The 18,493-nt window shown below is 44.7% G+C and overlaps 1 pseudogene across 1 annotated transcript in view, besides 2 other annotated features; it reads left to right on the plus strand.

Moving 5' to 3' along the window:
• Positions 13,378–13,527: an enhancer, noted in NCBI's record as "active region_16536". NCBI's record gives its function as "activates an Ori minimal core promoter by ATAC-STARR-seq in GM12878 lymphoblastoid cells {active_cell/tissue: GM12878}" and the evidence as "EXISTENCE:reporter gene assay evidence [ECO:0000049][PMID:35858748]".
• Positions 17,112–18,493, plus strand: part of POTEKP (POTE ankyrin domain family member K, pseudogene) — a 34,388-nt pseudogene continuing 33,006 nt past the window's right edge. Inside the window, exon 1 of the transcript NR_033885.3 lies at positions 17,112–17,174. The product of NR_033885.3 is annotated as a POTE ankyrin domain family member K, pseudogene (transcript). The remainder of the gene's footprint in view (positions 17,175–18,493) is intronic.
• Positions 17,266–17,476: a silencer, noted in NCBI's record as "fragment chr2:132349769-132349979 (GRCh37/hg19 assembly coordinates)". NCBI's record gives its function as "represses an EF-1alpha promoter that drives an FKBP-Casp9 reporter gene in an ReSE screen in K562 erythroleukemia cells {active_cell/tissue: K562}" and the evidence as "EXISTENCE:reporter gene assay evidence [ECO:0000049][PMID:32094911]".

The following is an 18,493-nucleotide window of genomic DNA, read 5'->3' on the forward strand; positions in this document are numbered from 1 at the left end:
TGGATTTTGTCAAATGCCTTTTCTGTGTCTGTTGAGATGCTTATGTGACTTTGCTTTTAATTCTGTTTATGTGATTATCACATTTATTGACTTGCCTGTGTTAGACCGGAAGAGCTGGGGTGTTCTCAGGAGCCACCGTGTGCCGCGGCAGCTTCGGGATAACTTGAGGCTGCATCCTGGGGAAGAAACACCTCCTGTCCGTGGCGCTGATGGCTGAGGACAGAGCTTCAGTGTGGCTTCTCTGCGACTGGCTTCTTCGGGGAGTTCTTCCTTCATAGTGAGTACAGAAGCTTTCGTTTTCTGGAATGTTCTACGTAGTCCTGCTGGGTTCTCCTTTTCTTTTTTCTCTTTCCATCTTAGTATGAATTTTACAGTAGTACTCATTCCCTGAGGGCTTTTGAGGTTGGAAAGAGTAGGGGGCTTTAGGGCTGTTTCTGAGGGAGACTCCCCTTGTAGATGGAGAGAGAGGAAAGCTCTGGCTGTGGGAGGAGGGGGAAGCCCGGCCCAGGTGGGGTTTTGGGGCCAGGCTCCAGTTAGGCTGCCTTGCATCCACGCCTCAGGTGGAAGGAAAGGATCCCAGCCCCCTCTAGGGTTTGCTGATTTTTTTAATTGTTTTTATTTTTTTGGAGATAGGGTCTGGCCCTGTTGCCCATGCTGGAGTGCAGTGTCAGATCTCAGCTCACTGCAGCCTCCACTTTCTGGGCTCAAGGGATTCTCCAGCCTCAGCCTCCCCAGTAGCTGGGCCTGTGCCACCATGCCCGCTATTTTTTTTTTTTTTTTGTATTTTTGGTAGCCACGGGGTTTCACCATGTTGCCCATTTTGAGCTCTCGAACTTCTGAGCTCAAAGCAATCCTCCTGCTTCGGCTTCCCTAAGTGCTGGGATTACAGGTGTGAACTACTGTTCCCGGTCTGCTGAATTTTGTTTTTCATGTATTTTTGATAGAGACAGGGTTTCACCATGGTGCCCAGGCTGGTCTCAAACTTCTGAGCTTAAAGCAATCCTCTCACCTTGGCTTCCCAAAGTGCCGGGATTACAGGCATGAACTACTGCACGTGGTCTACTGAATTTTTACATTTGTTTCCCAGCCGTCGGGACACAGGGGTCACTTTTCTCAACACCCTCCCGCCCCCCATCCCCGCCCCGGCAGCATCTGCCTAATTCTGTCCCTCTAGTCAGGGCCACCTGACTGGGGGAAGCTCCCTTCCGTGTGGTTTAATGTCTTCTTTGCAGAAATGTGTATTCAGGTTCCCTGCTCGGTTTTGGATGGATCATTTTAGTACTGTTAGTGTGTGGCATATTTTCTGTAACAACCCCTTAGCTGATAGGTGATTCCTCAAAACGTTCTCCCAGCCTTTCTCTTTGGGCTCATTGTTTCCTTTTCCTTGCAAAAACTTCACTTTGAGGTAGCCATGCGTGTTTTTTTATGGCCAAGCATTATGGTTCATGCCTGTAATCCAAGCACTTTGGGAGGCCAAGGTGGGCAGATCACTTGAGCCAAAGAATTTGAGACCAGCCTAGGCAACATGGCAAAACTTCTTCTCTACAAAAAAATATGAAAAATTAGCCAGGCGTGGTGGTGTGTGCCTGTAGTTCCAGCTATTCAGGAGGCAGAGGTGGGAGGATCACTTGTGCTGGAGAGGTCAAGGCTGCAGTGAGCCATGATCATGCCACTGCACTCCAGCCTGAGTGACAGAGTCCCTGTCTCAAAAAAATTTTTTTAATCTCTTTAGTAACATTCATTTCAATAAGAGTGAAATGACATCTGAGTTTGGTTTTGAAGTACTTTTTTTTGATGAATAGTGATGTTGAGGACCTTTTCTCTGACCTGTTAGTTTTATGTCATCTTTGTAGATATCTCTATTCAAGTTCTGTGCTCAATATGAGTTTGGATATGTATTTTATGCTATTTAGTATTGCTTTTTTCTGTGTACATGTTTGGTAACAACAATTTGTCACTTCTACGATTCCCTCAAATTTCCTAACAATTTTTTTTGAGACAGAGTCTCATTCTCTTACCCAGGCTGGAGCACAGCGGCATATCAGGGATTGTGAGTCCTCCAACTTAGTTTCTATTTCTCAGGGTTCCTTAGACATTCAGGGCCATTTCCATGTGATCATTAGCATTGTGTATTCACATTTCTTAAATTTCTGTGCATAATAAAGTATATAATTAGAGAGTCTGCTGGGACTGTTTTTCCTCTGGGACATTTTGGTAAATGTATATTTTTAGTAATGATCAAATCAGGGTACTTGCTCTATCTGTTCTCTCATACAGGTATTATTTCTCTGTTGTGATAACATTCAAATTGCTCCCTTCCAGCTTTTTTGAAAAATGTCCTATTTTGTTAACCAGAGTCACCCAGCTGTGGTATAGAACACAAGAATGTATTTGTCCCAACTAACTGCAACTTTGTTTCCATAACCAATCCTTCCATCTCCTCCTTCCCCTCTCCTCAGAAAACCACTACTGTACCTTTTACTTAATGAAGGCAAAGTTTTTGGATTCCATATAAGTGAGATGAATTTGCTTGTTTTTCTATGCCAGGCTTATTTTATTTAACAATATATTTTTCAGGTTCATCCATATGGCTCCAGAGGAAAATTATATTATTTTGTTATGGATGAAGAGTATTACGTTGTGCAGATATACTGCAGTGTCTTCATCTCTTGATGTGTGATTGGGTAGGTAGGTTGATTCCATATCTCCTATATTGTGAATAGCGCTTCTTTTTTTTTTTTTTTTTTTTTTGAGACGGAGTCTCGCTCTGTCGCCCAGGTCGGACTGCGGACTGCAGTGGCGCAATCTCGGCTCACTGCAAGCTCCGTGCGCTTCTTAAAGCATGGGAAGGCAGATAGTTTTTTTACGGAACCAGCTGCCTTTGCTTTAAATGCATACCCAGTGTGAGAAACTCCCAAGTTTTTTTCACAGTATATACACCAACTTACATCAACATCAGTAGCATATACGAGTTTCCCTTTCTGTAAGTCTACACAGGTTGCTGCCATCCAAAATTTTTATTGCTGTTTTGGTAATACTCATTCTCAGTGTAGTTTGATGGCATCTGATATCAGAGTGTGATTCTGACTTACATGTTTGGAGTGATTAGTGATGTGGAGAATCTTTAGTTTCACCTGTGAATCAGTTTCATGTCCTTTGCAGAAGTGGTTGCGCAGGTCCGTTGCATATTTTTAGCTTGTGTATTTTTTAAAAATCTTTTCCCCACTTAGTAGCTTTAGTGTTTGAGTATGTTAGATAGCAACCCCTTCCAAAATTACGATTTTCCACAGTTTTCCCCCAGTCATCCTGTCCGCCAAGGTAGAATACTTTCTCTTTGGGATCATGTTTTCTCCCCCATGCAGAAGCTCTAAAGCGTTGGTCTCACAGGTTTATATTTGCTTTTGTCAGCATGGATTTCTGTGTCTCATGAGAGAGACAGAGAGAGAGAAAAAAAGAGATGGCAAAGTCATTGTATTTTCTATGGGTATTTTCACCCTAAGCGAGAACATGTGGTATTTGGTTTTCTGTTCTTTCCTTAGTTTGCTTAGCATAGTGGCCTGCAGTTTCATCCTTCTTGCTGCTGAGAGCACGAATTTTTTTTTAAGCTGTGTAGGATTTTGCGGTATCTATGTACAACACTTTAAAACATCTAATCAACTGTTAAGGGGGGACATAGGTCGATTTTATTTTATTTTTTCATGTGAATAGCACTTCCAAGAACACATCCATGCCTGTGTCATTTTGAAAGAAGGATTTATGATTTATTTTCCTTTGTGTAGATACCCAGTTATGCGATTGCTCATTTGGATGGTATTTCTAAGTTCTTTGAGGAACTTCCAAGCTACTTCTTATAGTGGGAGACTAGTTTTTATTCCTACCAAGAGTGTAGCAGTGTTTGCTTTCCTCTGCTGCCTTGCCACCATGTAAATGCTTGGACTTAGGACAAATGGCCATTCTGACCGACTTGAGATGGTATCTCAGTGTGCGTGTGAGTTGCATTTCTCTGATGATGAGTGATGTTGATGTTTTTTTCTTGTCTATTGGTCACTTGTACGTCTTTTTTTTTTTACAAGTATGTCTCCATGTCTTTTTGCCCATTGTTTGATTATTTGTTTTTCTGCCTCTTGATTTTTTTAAGGTCATGTTAGAGTCTGGCTATTAGACCTTGGTCAGAAGCGTAGTTTGGGAACATTTTCTCCCATCCTGTAGGCTATGTTTTTACTGTGCTGGTGATTTATTTTGCTATCTGGCAGTGTTTTAGTTTCTTAGGCCCAACTTGTCCATTTTGGTTTTTCTTGCTGTTGTTTTTAGGGACCAAGTCATCTAAATTCTTTACCAAAGCCTGTGTTGAGAAAGGTATTTCCTAGTTTTTCTTGTAGGACTTGTATAGTTTGCGGTCTTCTGCTGAAATCTTTCATTCACCTTGAGTTAGTTTTTGCATCTTGTGAGAGGTGAGGCTCCAGTGTTGTTCATCTGCAAGTGGCTAGACACTATCCCAGTGCCTTTCATCGCACAGTGAGCCCTTTCCACGTCTGAATTTTGGTGTTTCAAAGGTCAGATGGTTGCAGGTATGTGGGTTGCTTCTGGGTTTCCTATTCTGTCTAGGTGGAGGTGGGTCTGTAGCTTTTCTGTGAAATTTGAAATTGGAGATCGTGGTCCATCTGACATCGTCTGGATCTCCCAGCATGGCTTTGGAGTTTCAGAGCATTTCGTGGTCCCATGGGAATTTTAGCATTCATTGTTTCTTCACATTGCTTTCAAAAAACAAAATCGACCCATCCTAAAGGTGTACAAGTAGAGGGTAGAGTGGAATATTTGGATCCATGCATGCATCAGATAGTGATGAAATCAGGGTATATAGTGTCATTTTTTGCCTTGTAGAGTGTTCCTGTCTTTGAGTTGAGGAGAGCCAGAACTCTTCTTTCTGGCTGCCTTGAAAACTATCCTCTGGTAAAGTTTTCTCTAGTCACCCTGCTGAGGAATAGAACAGCAGGTTTCATTCCTCTTACGCAGCATGTCACTTTGTACCTGTTTCCTATCCCCACCCGTGCCCAGCCTTCTGTTCCAACCCTGGCAAGCACTGTGGTGCTTTGTAGGTCTATGTGAGATTAAAGGGTCTTAGATTCCCCATGAGTGAGGTAATGTGAGGTTTGTCTTTCTCTGCTTAGTATTTCATTTACCATAATGTGTGTTTCATTACCTAGTGTGTTTCATTTACCAGGTTCCACCATGTTGCCGCAGATGACATGATTTCAGTACCTGTGTCTGGCTGAAAAGTGTTTGTTTGTGAATGGATATTGTGGTTTCTGGATCTCATCCTCTGTGGGTGGACAGGTAGGTTGATTCCTTATCCTGGCTATTGCGACTGGTTCCACAGGCAGCATGGGAAGGCAGATGTGTCTTCTGTGTACTGATGACGTATGCTACCAGTGCACACCCAGTGGTAGCGCGGCTCAGTGAAATGGTCGTTGTATTTTTAGTTTTTAGAGGAACCTCCAGGTGGCCTCTGTAGTGTGCGCACTAATTTACCTTGTCAACAGTTGTGGACAAGAGAGCTCTCCTCTCTGGAAATTCACAGCAACATTTGTGGTTTCCCTTCTTTTAAGATATATGAAGTTCTTTGTAATACTCTTTCCTTTGAGAGGGACACGATATCTGAGTCTTGTTCTGATTTTCATTTTTCTTATGATTAGTGATATTAACTACTAGGTGTTAAGTACATTTGTTTTCAGTTTTAGGTGTTCTTTGCAGAAAAGACTCTTTGGTTTCTTTGCCCAATTTTGGTTTGCTAATTACCTTCTCTTTTCTGCTAGTTAGTAGTGTTAGTTACTTACACCTTTTCTAAAAAAAATCTCCTTAGCTGTGTTTTCCCCTATACCTTTCTTATCATCCGTTGGATGTTTGTTTCTTTTCATTCATTGTTTTCATTCTTTCTTTCCCCCAAGCCATATAGTCTGATGAGTCTGATGCAGATTCAGGGGTGTGCAGTGTTGTGGTTTTCCACTACATTGGTTACTGATGAAATAAAGGACATTCACTAGCATACCAATCTATTGTGAGTTTTGCTTGTTTGTTGTTTGTATTTTCTTTCCCCCATATTGTTTTCATTTTCCTTTTTGCAAATTGTAAGCATAGATCCAGGTTGGCCCAGGTATCCACACACCATATACTTTCTTCTCAGAGAGTGATAGTTTCAAGTTTTGGGTATAGGTCTTTCATTCATGTTGAATAGATGATTGTGAATTTCACACAATAAGGACCCTATGTTGTTATTTTGCCTAGGGATATCCAGTTCTCAGAACGCTGTATTGGACAGACTCTCCCTTCTTGTGGTGACGTTTGTGGTTCTTTCTAAACATGTGCTTAGGCTATACCAATTTGAACTTACTCCTAGGCACCTTCATTGTGTCCCCTGGTCTGTGTTTCTCTGCTAAGGCCTATCACAAATCATCTGGGTAACTAAAGCTTTGGGAAGTAATTTAAAGTGGAAGCATGTGATGGCTCCACCGAGTTTGTGTGTGTAGGAATCTGGGTAACTAAAGCTTTGGGAAGTAGGTTAAAGTGGAAGAGTGTGATGGCTCCACCGACTGTGTGTGTAGGAACTGCTTTGGGAGTGCGCGGCACTTCATTGTCCCACAGGACTTTCAGAAATATGTTGTGATCCTATTTGAAAACAAAAATTTCACATGGTCTATGCTTTTACTTTAAGGGCGCAAGGGACCATTTGACATATGGATCAGTGCTGTTGTGATCAAATTACAGGACCTCGTGTCTCTGTTTCAGGCTATAGTGAGGATTTCTTGGTGGAGAGAGTATCCCGATCACCCCTTCCCGCTATATTGAATATCATGCTAGGAGACTGTTAAGCCTAGTCACCCTGCTAAGCTGTAGAACACCAGAATTCTTGCCATTCATCTGAGCGTCACTTTGTAGCTGTTTCCAAGCCTCCCCTCAGCCTCTGGTACCCACTATTGACGTTGCTCCTTTGTGAGATGCATTTCATTAGATTCCATGCGCGTGAGATCGTGCTGTGTTTGTGTTTGTCTTCCTCTGCCTGGCTCATTTCCTTTGACTTAATGTCCTTCAGCTTTCTCCACCTTGCTGGAAGTGACCTGCTGTCCAGAAGTTTGATGGCTGAGGAGTATACCATCGTGCATGCATCTTTCATTTCCTGCATTTCTTCCTCCCTGGATGGACAGGTAGGTTACTTCCATACCCTGGTTATTGTCCGGAGTACTTCATCAAACACGGGAAGGCAAATATCTCCTTAAGTTACAAGGTTCCTTGGCTTTGCTGGTATACCCAATGTTGGGATGGCTACGGGAACTGGTAGTTGTATTGTTGTTTCAGAAACCTCCTGCTGTCTCTCCCAGTGGGTATACAAATTTGCATTCCTACCAATAGTGTGTGAGAGTTTCTCTGTCTGCAAATCTACACTGCCCTTATCTTCAAAAGGTTTTATTGCTGTTCCTGGTCATACTCGTTCTCTGGGGAGTTTGGCAGTATCTGAGTGTGGTTGGGATTTGCATTTAGGGGATGATTACTGATGTGGAGGAACTTCTATTACCCGCGAGTCTGTTGCAGGTTTTTTCAGAAATGCCTATGCCAGTCTTTTGGGCAATTTTAGCATGTGTATTGGTTTTTGTGTTTTTGTCCACTTGGGACCATTAGTTTCTTGAATATATCAGATAAGAAGCCCTTCCAGATCCACAGTTTTCCATAATTTTCTCCCAGTCTGTGGGATGTCTTCTGTTGGGTTCACTGTTTTCTCTCCAGTGTTGAAGCTATGTGAAGCTCTGAAGTTGTCCTTAGTCTCACATGGTCACATTAGCTTTTGTTAGCGGTGATTTCTGTGTCCCTTTGAGAAGAAAAGCAAGATGGCGAAGCCATTGTATGGTCTATGGGTATTTGATTCCTATGTGTTTTCTGTTTGTGGCTTAGGTGCACAGGTTCAAGTTTTCCCACACTAGACATGCACCCTATGTGTTTTCCTTGGAGGTTTTGGTTTCACAATTGCCCTTTAGTGTTCAGTGGATTTTGTGTCGCTTTTTGTGTCTTGTGTAAGGGAAGGGTTTATTTCAGTCCTTTGCATGTGACCCCCCAGTTTCTTCAACCATTGTGCTTTTGGTGTGCTTTTGGGGGAAAAGCAAGAATCCTATGGATTCAGTGTTTATAATTGTGGGCTGATTATTTGGCTCCTTCGTTGTGTCCATTTGGTTATCTTTCTGTGTTCATGCCACTAATGGATGGATTGGGCCACTGTAGGCTTTTTCTTTCGTTTTGTGTGTTTTTTTGTATTTTCTTCCTTTTTTTCTATTTCTATTTCCAAAACTGGGTTTTCTAAAATGATAGCTACTTTTATTGTGATCGAGGGGTGGACGCCTGCAGGTTCATTTCACTACATGGCTATATAGCAGACTTTGTATGCTTGAGGTCCTAGCGTACCCATCACCCAGGCGGTGAACACAGCACCAGTTGGATCATTCTTCCTCCAAGGCTTCCTGTCTCCCTCCTTTTTCTGTCTGGTAGTACCCAGCATCTGTTGATTTCATCTTTACGTTCGTGTGTATTCGGTGTTGAGTTTCTGCCTGTAAGTGAAAACCTGCGGTGTTTGGTCTTCTGCTCTTGCCTGAGTTCGCTTAGCAGAGTGGCCTGCAGTTCTGTCTGTGTTGATGCTGTGGGCATGATTTTGTTTCTGTGTTTGATTTTCCTTGGTGGCTTCTTAGTATTCTGTGGTGTATAGGTATCACATTTAAAAACATCTCATTTTCTGTTGTTGGGCATCTAGGTCAGGTCCACGTCTTTATTCCTGTGAGTAGCACTCCCGTGAACATGCAAATGTCTGTGTCTTTTTGATAGACACATGTATTTTTCCCTTGGGTGGATACACAGGGTTGGATTGCTGGGTCGAAGGGTATCTCTGCTTCCTTTCCCTCTTTGTTGTTGTTGTTGAGAAATCTTGAAACTGCTCTCCACAGTTTGAGACCTAGTTTGCATTACCCCAAGAGTGTAGCTGTGTTTGCTTTTATCTACTGCTACACAAATATGTTTTGTGTTTGGACAAATGGCCATTCTGACTGGTGTGTGATGGCACTGGTACCTCATCTCTGATGATTAGGGATGTTGAGCATTTTCTCCTGTCTGTTGGTCTTTTTTAAGTCTTGTTTTGACTAGTGTGTTTGTGTCATTTGCCCATTTTTTACTTGTGTTATTTTTCTGCTTCTTGATTTAGGTAAGGTCCTCTAGATTCTGGCTTTAGAACTTGGTCAGATGCTTGGTTTGGGAACATTTTCTCCCATCATGTAGGCTGTGTGTTTACTGTGTTGGCAGTTGCTTTGCTGTCCAGCAGGTCTGTAGTTTCTTCGGCCAGACTTGTACTTTTTGTTTTTTCTTGCATTTCTTTTGGGTACTAAATTGTCTAAGTGGTTTGCAAAAGCCTATGTTGAGAAAGGTGTTTGATAGGTTGTCTGTTAGGACTTTTATATTTGAAGTCTTCTATTTCAATCTTTGGTTGATCTTGAGTTAATTTTCCATATGATGAGAAGCAGGGCTGCAGTGTTAATTCTCCTGCACATGGCTAGTCATGTATCTGAGCGCCATTCGTTGCATAGTGAGCCTTTTCTTTATTTCTTATTTCTGTGGTTTTGTCAAAGGTCAGATGGTTGTAGTTCTGCCAGGCTACTTCTGCATTTTCTAACTTGTCTAGGTGAAAGCTAGGTCATTTTTTTCTGTTATGATCTATTTTGATTTCTTGGGTTCAAGAACTGATAAATAAATTTTAGAAACTGAAGAACCCACTTACTTTCTCAAGGTTAGAAACCATCACCATCACCGTATTCTGTGATGTTATGGGCTTTATTGAGTTATATCTTTGCCCTTTTCCTTCAAGTCTCTCCTCTGGATTTATTTTGTGAAATTAGATTCTGAATCCCATTTTGTTGCATAAACTGTGCTTGAGCAAAAAAAAGTTTTTCTTTTTTTTTCTAAAAACATCCTTAGTATACATGGGGTGAAGAACAACAAACCTGTCTCCTCTTTCCACTAGTCACACCATTACACTCCTTTCCAGCCTCTTTGCTGCTACATGTGGCCATTCAAATGAGCCCTGGCTAAGTACATGTGGATAGAAGTTAATGTTCGCTTCTTGCAAGCCTGGCCTGTGATTCTGTGTTGTGATTTAGAACATAAAGAAGAAGTGAGACTTGCTGAATGAGACTCTTGAACGCTTCCTCTGACAAGCTCCAAGGCACACTGGTTGTCTTGCAGTGCTTTGGACAGCTACTCGTTTGTTGGACAATAATTTCCCAACATGGGGACAACCCAGAGCATTTTCCACTTCCATATTCTGCTTCAGTTGCTCATGGTTTTGATCGAAGCTAGACAGTGACTGAACCAGGAGGCTCAGACCCCAGGCCAGCGTGGAGTCCTGTGGTTGAAGACAGGCTGGACCATCAGAGGAAGAAAACAAGTAGCCCTTTTTTCTGGATTTTCACCTTCTCTGTTTTCAGGAAACCTGAAGCCAATTATGTTATGCAGGCATGACTGAAAAGAGATTATTTTGAGTTGTTTTGGTGGCACCAAGAAATGTGCCAATGTGACAGCCAAAAAAGCAGAAAGACCAAGGCATTGAGAGTGGGAGAGCCACTGATGATGCTGGGTCTGGTAGGCTTTTCGAGATCTCTCCCAGCCCCAAAACAGCCAAGCAACTCTGTCCTGGGTTGTGAGTGGGCTCAGCCGCCCCTGTGCACACCCATGCTTGGATTCTGGCACACATGGCACCCACAGGAGGCAGTTCCCCCTTCAGGAGACTGGTTGGCAGGACCCTGTCTCCACACGCAAAGACAGCAGGCAGAACCCACACGTCCTCTAGTTTTCCCAGTGTCACTCGCCCATGGGGGTTCACGATGAGACCCCACGGGTCCAACCTGCAGGCAGAGTTGCCACCCCAGCCTGAGGCAAAGTGGACCTTTTTCTGCCAGAGGGGTCTGCTTTCCCATTGGCCAAAATGGCCTCAAATGACAGGGACAGAACAAGGCACAAGTGTACCCATTAGAGTGTCTGAGCCCGCCTGGTGTCTGCTTCCACACATCTCCTGGGAGGTCCCAGCAGGCACCCAGGCCTGGGCCACAGCTCACCCCACATTCAGAGGTGGGTAGCACAGCTGCCCTATGCAGGCCTCAGGGAGGAAAGGGAGAAAGAGATGACAAAAGCAAGACACAAGAAATGCAGCAAAAGCACACAAACACACACACTGACACTCATCTGGGGCAGGCCATCCTCTCACCCATGACCAGCAGTGCAGGCAGCTGAGAGTTGGGCAGGAGGTGGTGCCACCATCCCCTGAGTTAGGGCCTGGATCCAAGGAAGAACATAGAGTCCCTAGAGTCAAGCGCCACTGACCTCAAGACCTGCAGTTTGCAGGGAGGGGATGCTGTGAGAAGAACTGTTCTAGGTCACAGCGAAATATGTCTGACTTCAAGAAAATATTTGAAACCAAAGTACATTTATTGAAGACTCTCAATGATATAAAAAAGCACAGTTTAGAAAATGTGAAAGCAATCACTGAACATATTCATATATTTTCATCTAAATTTAGTTACAGAGTTTTTCTAAAACTGGGATCAGGCCAGGTATGGTGGCTCAGGCCTGTAATCCTAGCACTTTGGGAGCTTGAGGCAGGAGGATCGCTTGAGGCCAAGAGTGGAGACCAGCCTGGGCAACATGGTGAGACCCCTCATCTCTACCAAAAATACAGAACTTGGCCAGTCATGGTAGCACACTCCTGTAGTCCCAGCTACACAGAAGGCTGAGGTGGGAGAATTGCTTGAGCCTGGGAGGTTGAGGCTGCAGTTAGACAAGACTGCACCACTGCATTCCAGCCTGGGTGACAGCCTGTCTCAAAAAATAATAACAGTAATTCCCGATTTTAATAATTATTCTAGAGTTGTGTAAAAGAATACCCTTAGGAAATGCACACTTTGGGGTAATTATGTCTATAGTTTACACTGAAATCATTAAAAGAGGTATGTAAACAGACAAAGCAAATGGGACAAAATGGAGCAAATTTCTACAAATTTTAGAAATTGGTGAGTCTTGGTTAAGAGAAGGAGGAGGATTCTTGGTACTATTCTTGTGACTTTTGAAATTATATAAAAATTTTAAGTTCCTAAAAACTGGCTGTAGAACTATACGCTCAGAGTGAGCATTTATTTTGTAAAATAGTGATTAAGACCAAATCTTTAATCAGTTAAAAATCTGATCAAATAAAAGTAGTAATATATTACGGTATTTTTGACATCAAATCATTGTAAAGGGGCAATAACTTACAAGTTTGTCTCCAAGCACAGTACATTTTTATGGATTTTTAAAGAATTCACGTTCCCGTAATTCTTACCTTCCTCCACCTAAAGTGACACAGTTTACCAAATAATTTGGAGTAATGGTTAGATTGGGTTAAATTCTCAAGGCTTCCTCTTTAAAAATCATACATTTAATTCGGGTAGGGAATGACTTGGCTTCTTTGTTCCTGTGAAAGAAGTATATAAAAATGCCCCCTTAGTAACTATGCAGTCAGCTTACTATCTCAGCAAAGTCATTGTGAACTTCTTCCCTGTCTCAGGTTGGAAATAGGAACCAATTCAAGGTAGATTAAAGACTTAGGGCCGGGCGCAGTGGCTCATATCTGTAATCCCAACACTTTGGGAGGCCGAGGTGGGTGGATCACGAGGTCAAGAGATCAATACCATCCTGGCCAACATGGCCCGTCTCTACTAAAAATACAAAAATTAGCTGTGCATGGTGGTGGGTGCCTGTAGTCCCAGCTACTCGGGAGGCAGGAGAACCACTTGAACCCGGGCGGCGGAGGTTGCAGTGAGCTGAGATTGCGCCACTGCACTCCAATCTGGTGACAGAGCCAGACTCCGTCTCAAAAAAAGAAAAAAAGACTTAAATGTCAGACCTGAAACTATAAAACTACTAGAAAAACATAGAGAAAACTCTTCAGAACATCGGCTTAGGCAGATAATTTATGGATGAAATCTCAAAAGCACAGGCACCAAAAGCAAAAATAGTTGAGTGGGCTATAACTTCTGCACAGCAAAAGAATCAACACAGTGAAGAGACAGCCCCTGGAGTGGGAGAAAATATTTGCAAATTACTCACCTGACAGGGAACTAATGTGCAGAGTATAGAAGGAACTCAGACTCCTCAAAAGTTAAAAAATCAATGCCATTAAAAATAGGCAAAGGACAGGAATAGAGACATACAAATGGCTAAGATGTATATGAGAAACTGCTCAACTTCATTGATCAGGGAAATGCAAATCAAAACCACAGTGGGATATTATCTCACCTCAGTTAGTATGGGTATTATTAAAAAGACAAAAAATAACAGATGCTGGTGAGAATGAAGAGAAAAGGAAACTCTGCTACACTGTCAGTAGGAATGCAAATCAGTACAAGCATGATGGAAACCAGTATAGAGAATTCGAAAAAAAGAAAAAATAGAACTACTCTATGGTCCAGCAATCTCACTGGGGGGGTATTTATCCAAAGGAAAGAGTTCAGTGTAACAAAGGGGAACTTGCATGCTCGTGTTTATCACAGCATTATTCACAATAGCAAAGACACAGGATCAATCCAAGTATTCATCAACAGATGAGTGGATAAGATGTGCTAAATAGACACAGTAAAATACTATTTGGCATAACAAATAAGGAAATCGTGTCATTTTCAGAAACATTTTCAGAGACAGAAGGACAAATACTACGGGTTCTCACTCACGTGAGAGCTAAAAAAACTTGATCCCATGGAAACAGAGAATACAATGGCAGTACCAGAGGCCAGGAAGACTGGGTATGTGGAAGGGAGAATGAAGAGAAGTTGGTTATTGGGTACAAACCTACATTTAGAAGAAATAGGCTGTAATGTTTGACAGCAGGCTGTGGTGGCTAAGTAATATTATTATGTGTAAATATTCAAAGTAACCAGAATACGCATTTTATGCATGTAACAAGTATTTGTATGTACCTTACAAAGAGGTAAAATATTATGTGTCAATAAGATGGAGAGGTTATGCCCAAGCCTCCAGAGAGGGGCTCCTTGGATCCGCACAGCACATCCTGCATACCTGCATCCACTGCTGCGCTATGCTCCTCGTATCTGAGCCTTCATGCTCTGGTCCCCGAGGCAGGTGGTGCTGACTCAGGTGGCCACACTGTGGACCTGGGTGTTGGTGGCCCAGAGGGTGGGTGCTAGAGGCTTCCTGCCCTTCTTGTTCCACTGGGACCAGACGGAGCCAGGCAGTGACAGGGTACCACCTTCTTGACCGGATCCTGGAACACAGGAGTGTCACCTGGCCCCTCGTCATCCCAACTTAGCACCCAAAGTACCCCCGGGCCGGGGCCATGGCTGGGCTGGAACTCAGGATGGTTAGGATGCAGCTCAAGCCTTGTGGCATCTCTGGGTTCTCTGTCCACTGAGGGTGCCCTGGGATGCAAAGCTGGTGGAAGAGGTTGGCATTTCCCCAGCCTATCCTCACTCATGCCAAGCACCCCAGACTGTCCTTCCTGGTCCATCGCCCTGGTCACATTCCCCAGGGCAGCTCAGGGCTTTGTTCAGGGATTTCCTGTAGTCAGGTGCCTGATAAGTGTTGAGACGTGCAAGGCCACGTGGGCAGATGGGGAGGTGCTCTTTGGTGAGCACCCCCAGCAGGGCAGTCCCCCACCCAGGTGTCTGCCTGCTCCTGCTTGTGTTTGACTGTTAACAGCGCTTCATGCCAGGGCCACCAGCTCCCATCCCTCCTGTCAGGAAGGACACAGACAGCAAGTGCCTGGGTGGTAAGGCATTTGCCAGGTAACACAGGTGGCAAGTGCCAGAGCTGGGATTTGAACCCGGATCATGGCACTCTGTGTGGGGCAATGGAAGGTTTGAGAACGCCCATGTAGGAAGGAAGGGCAGCCTGGCCCCACTGAGCCCAGCTGCTCCCTGTGACCCTGGAGGAAACTATTCAGCCCCCAGCTGGGGAGAGAGTCCAGGAGGCCAGGCTTCCCCTTGCTTCCTGGCTCAGGGGATCACAGAGGGACAAGGAAATTTAGTGTATGTGTCTTCTTTTTGTTTCATTCAAAGTTTAATTTAGTATCAAGCAAGAGGAGCTTTAGTATCAAGCTCCTCTTTTTAGTATCAAGCAAGGTAGCTTAACCCTTCATAAGACTTCAGTTACAAAATAGTACTTTTTTTTTTTTGCACTTGTGATTGGCTTCCCCTCTACTTCTTTTGGTAAGAGTAGGTTGGTGTCCAGGCTCAGAATCCATTTTTCCTCCCACACCAAAGCACCTGTGGTTTGGGTGAAGCAGCCTGGAGCCTGGCTGCATAAAGCTTTGCAGCAGGAGGGTCCCGGTAGGAGGGTCGAGGTGCTACTTGCCCTGGTCCAGCTCAGAGGCCAGCACCAGGGAGGCTCAGTGTCCTGTTCCCAGGATCTGCACATGGGGTTGCCTTTCTGCATCTCCCCATCAGAGTGGTAGGTGCTCCTCCAAGCCCCCTCATGCCGGCCTGGACACAGCGGTCTGCACCTTGACCCTATTGCATGCCAGTGGAGCAGAGCCCCCCAGGCCAGAAGCCCCACAGCTGTTGGCCCTGGCTTGGACACTGGGCAGGGGGCACCAGGGCAGGAGCTGGCTGCAATCCTGTGGCCCCAAATGCCCCCTCGCTGATGGCCTCATGTTCTGTTCTGGGTGCGGAGCAAAGAGGAGCAGGTGTCGAAGGCACCTCAGGCAGGCGCTGGGCTTAATGGGCGTCTTGTGCTCCATGATTTTGAGGCCATTTGCAGCCAGCTCCGCCAGCCCGAGCTCCGAGCTGCAGCTGCTGCCATGCACAACAGCACCGCCAGGAGTGTCCTGGGGGCTTTCTTCAGGGGAGGCTGTCAGCATCCTCAAGTTCCAGCTGCTTAGCCCCAGTCCTCCTTCAAGAGGCTTTTTTTTTTCACCAGCGGCTTCTCAATGGCCTGAAAGCTCAGCTGACTCCCACAAAGTTTGCCGGGAACACAGGGCTGTCAGTGACATTCCTGGCGCCAAGACTTAAGCACGTGGGTTGCACGCATCGGCCAGTGTCTGTGCCACGTACACTGACGCCCCCTGAGATGTGCACACCGCACGCGCACGTCGCACGCGCGGCAGCGGCTTGGCTGGCTTGTAACGGCTTGCACGCGCACGCCGCCCCCGCATAACCGTCAGACTGGCCTGTAACGGCTTGCAGGCGCACGCCGCACGCGCGTAACGGCTTGGCTGCCCTGTAACGGCTTGCACGTGCATGCTGCACGCGCGTTAACGGCTTGGCTGGCATGTAGCGGCTTGGCTTGGCTTTGCATTCTTTGCTTGGCTTGGCGTTGGTCGCTTGGATTGACGCTTCCTCCTTGGATTGACGTTTCCTCCTTGGATTGACGTTTCCTCTCTCGCGTTCCTTTGCTGGACTTGACCTTTTCTCTGCTGGGTTTGGCATTCCTTTGGGTGGGCTGGGTGTTTTCTCCGGGGGGGTTGGCCCTTCCTGGGGTGGGCGTGGGGTCGCCCCCAGGGGGCGTGGGCTTTCCCCGGGTGGGTGTGGGTTTTCCTGGGGTGGGGTGGGCTGTGCTGGGATCCCCTGCTGGGGTTGGCAGGGATTGACTTTTCTCTTCAAACAGATTGGAAACCCGGAGTTACCTGCTAGTTGGTGAAACTGGTTGGTAGAAGGGATCTGCTGGCTACTACTGGTTTCTCCTGGCTGTTAAAAGCAGATGGTGGCTGAGGTTGATTCAATGCCGGCTGCCTCTTCTGTGAAGAAGCCATTTGGTCTCAGGAGCAAGATGGGCAAGTGGTGCTGCCACTGCTTTCCCTGCTGCAGGGGGAGCGGCAAGAGCAACGTGGGCACTTCTGGAGACCGCAACGACTCCTCTGTGAAGACGCTTGGGAGCAAGAGGTGCAAGTGGTGCTGCCACTGCTTCCCCTGCTGCAGGGGGAGCGGCAAGAGCAACGTGGGCGCTTGGGGAGACTACGATGACAGCGCCTTCATGGATCCCAGGTACCACGTCCATGGAGAAGATCTGGACAAGCTCCACAGAGCTGCCTGGTGGGGTAAAGTCCCCAGAAAGGATCTCATCGTCATGCTCAGGGACACTGATGTGAACAAGAGGGACAAGCAAAAGAGGTAACCAGGCCTGGGCTGGGAGGAGGTGGGACTTGGGGGGATGATGGGGACATACCGTCCTGATGGGGGAGGAGGGGGACCTGGCTTTCTCGCCTCCGCAGGCCTCACACCACCCTGGATGTGGAAACCTCAGAGAGGTTAGGGCACAGGCCCCTTTATGAGCAGCAACACAAAAACAAAACTTTAGCTGATTTCCGATCAAGTTATAATTTGCCTCGTAGAACACTAATAGACTGTTTTAAAGTGATTTAACTTGCAAAATTATCGATGCAGCAGATTTTTTTAATCTACAGATTGTAAAACAATGTTCTATACCTTACAGAAAACTGTATATTGAGAACTAAGAACAAAGCCCCATAACACATCAACTTCAGGGCTAAATATTCTTCAAATAAAATCCAGTATGGATTTTATATCAATGTACACTATGTAAATATGTTCTTTACTGAGGAACCTTAGAAGGAAACTGAAATGGGAAGATGGTTCCTGTGCTTGAATAGGAAGATTGAATTTTCTTAAGATGTGAGCTTTTTGGCCGGGCGCGGTGGCTCATGCCTGTAATCCCAGCACTTTGGGAGTCCTAGACGGGCAGATCACGAGGACAGGAGATCGAGACCATCCTGGCTAATACGGTGAAACCCCATCTCTACTAAAAAATATAAAAACAATTAGCCGGGTGCGGTGGCAGGTGCCTGTAGTCCCAGCTACTCAGGAGGCTGAGGCAGGAGAATGGCATGAACCTGGGAGATGGAGCTTGCAGTGAGCTGAGATAGCGCCACTGCACTCCAGCCTGGGAGACAGAGTGAGACTCCATCTCAAAAAAAAAAAAACAAAAAAACCCAAAAAGATGTGAGCTTTTTTTATTTAGCACTTTTACCTAAGCCAAATAAAAATAGCAAAGTTTTAGCGTTTTTAAATTACACATGCTGTCTTTTATTATTGTGATAAACTAATTTTTTGTAACAGAATGGAAAAAGGATTGCTTTTCCAGATATCAAAATGTGCATGTTATTTATTTCCACAAATTGTTTACTAACAGCTGAAAAGACATCAATGAATAGAACAGAATAGGAAATTTAGAAATACCCAAATATATGTAAGAATTTAGCACTTGATAATGGTGATGTTTTGTATTATTTAAAAAAGATGGATTGTTCATAATTCATTTTTGGAGAAAACTAGCTAGATTTTTATGTCACAGAAATAAGAGTATAGATTAAAAATTTTAAATATACAGAAAGAGAAACATACCAGAAGAAAACACAAATGCCTATTTATATATGCAGATATATATATATATATACTTTTTTTTTTTTGAT

The sequence above is a fragment of the Homo sapiens genome, chromosome 2 (genome assembly GCF_000001405.40).
Source record: "Homo sapiens chromosome 2, GRCh38.p14 Primary Assembly".
Taxonomy (NCBI): Eukaryota; Metazoa; Chordata; class Mammalia; order Primates; family Hominidae; genus Homo; species Homo sapiens.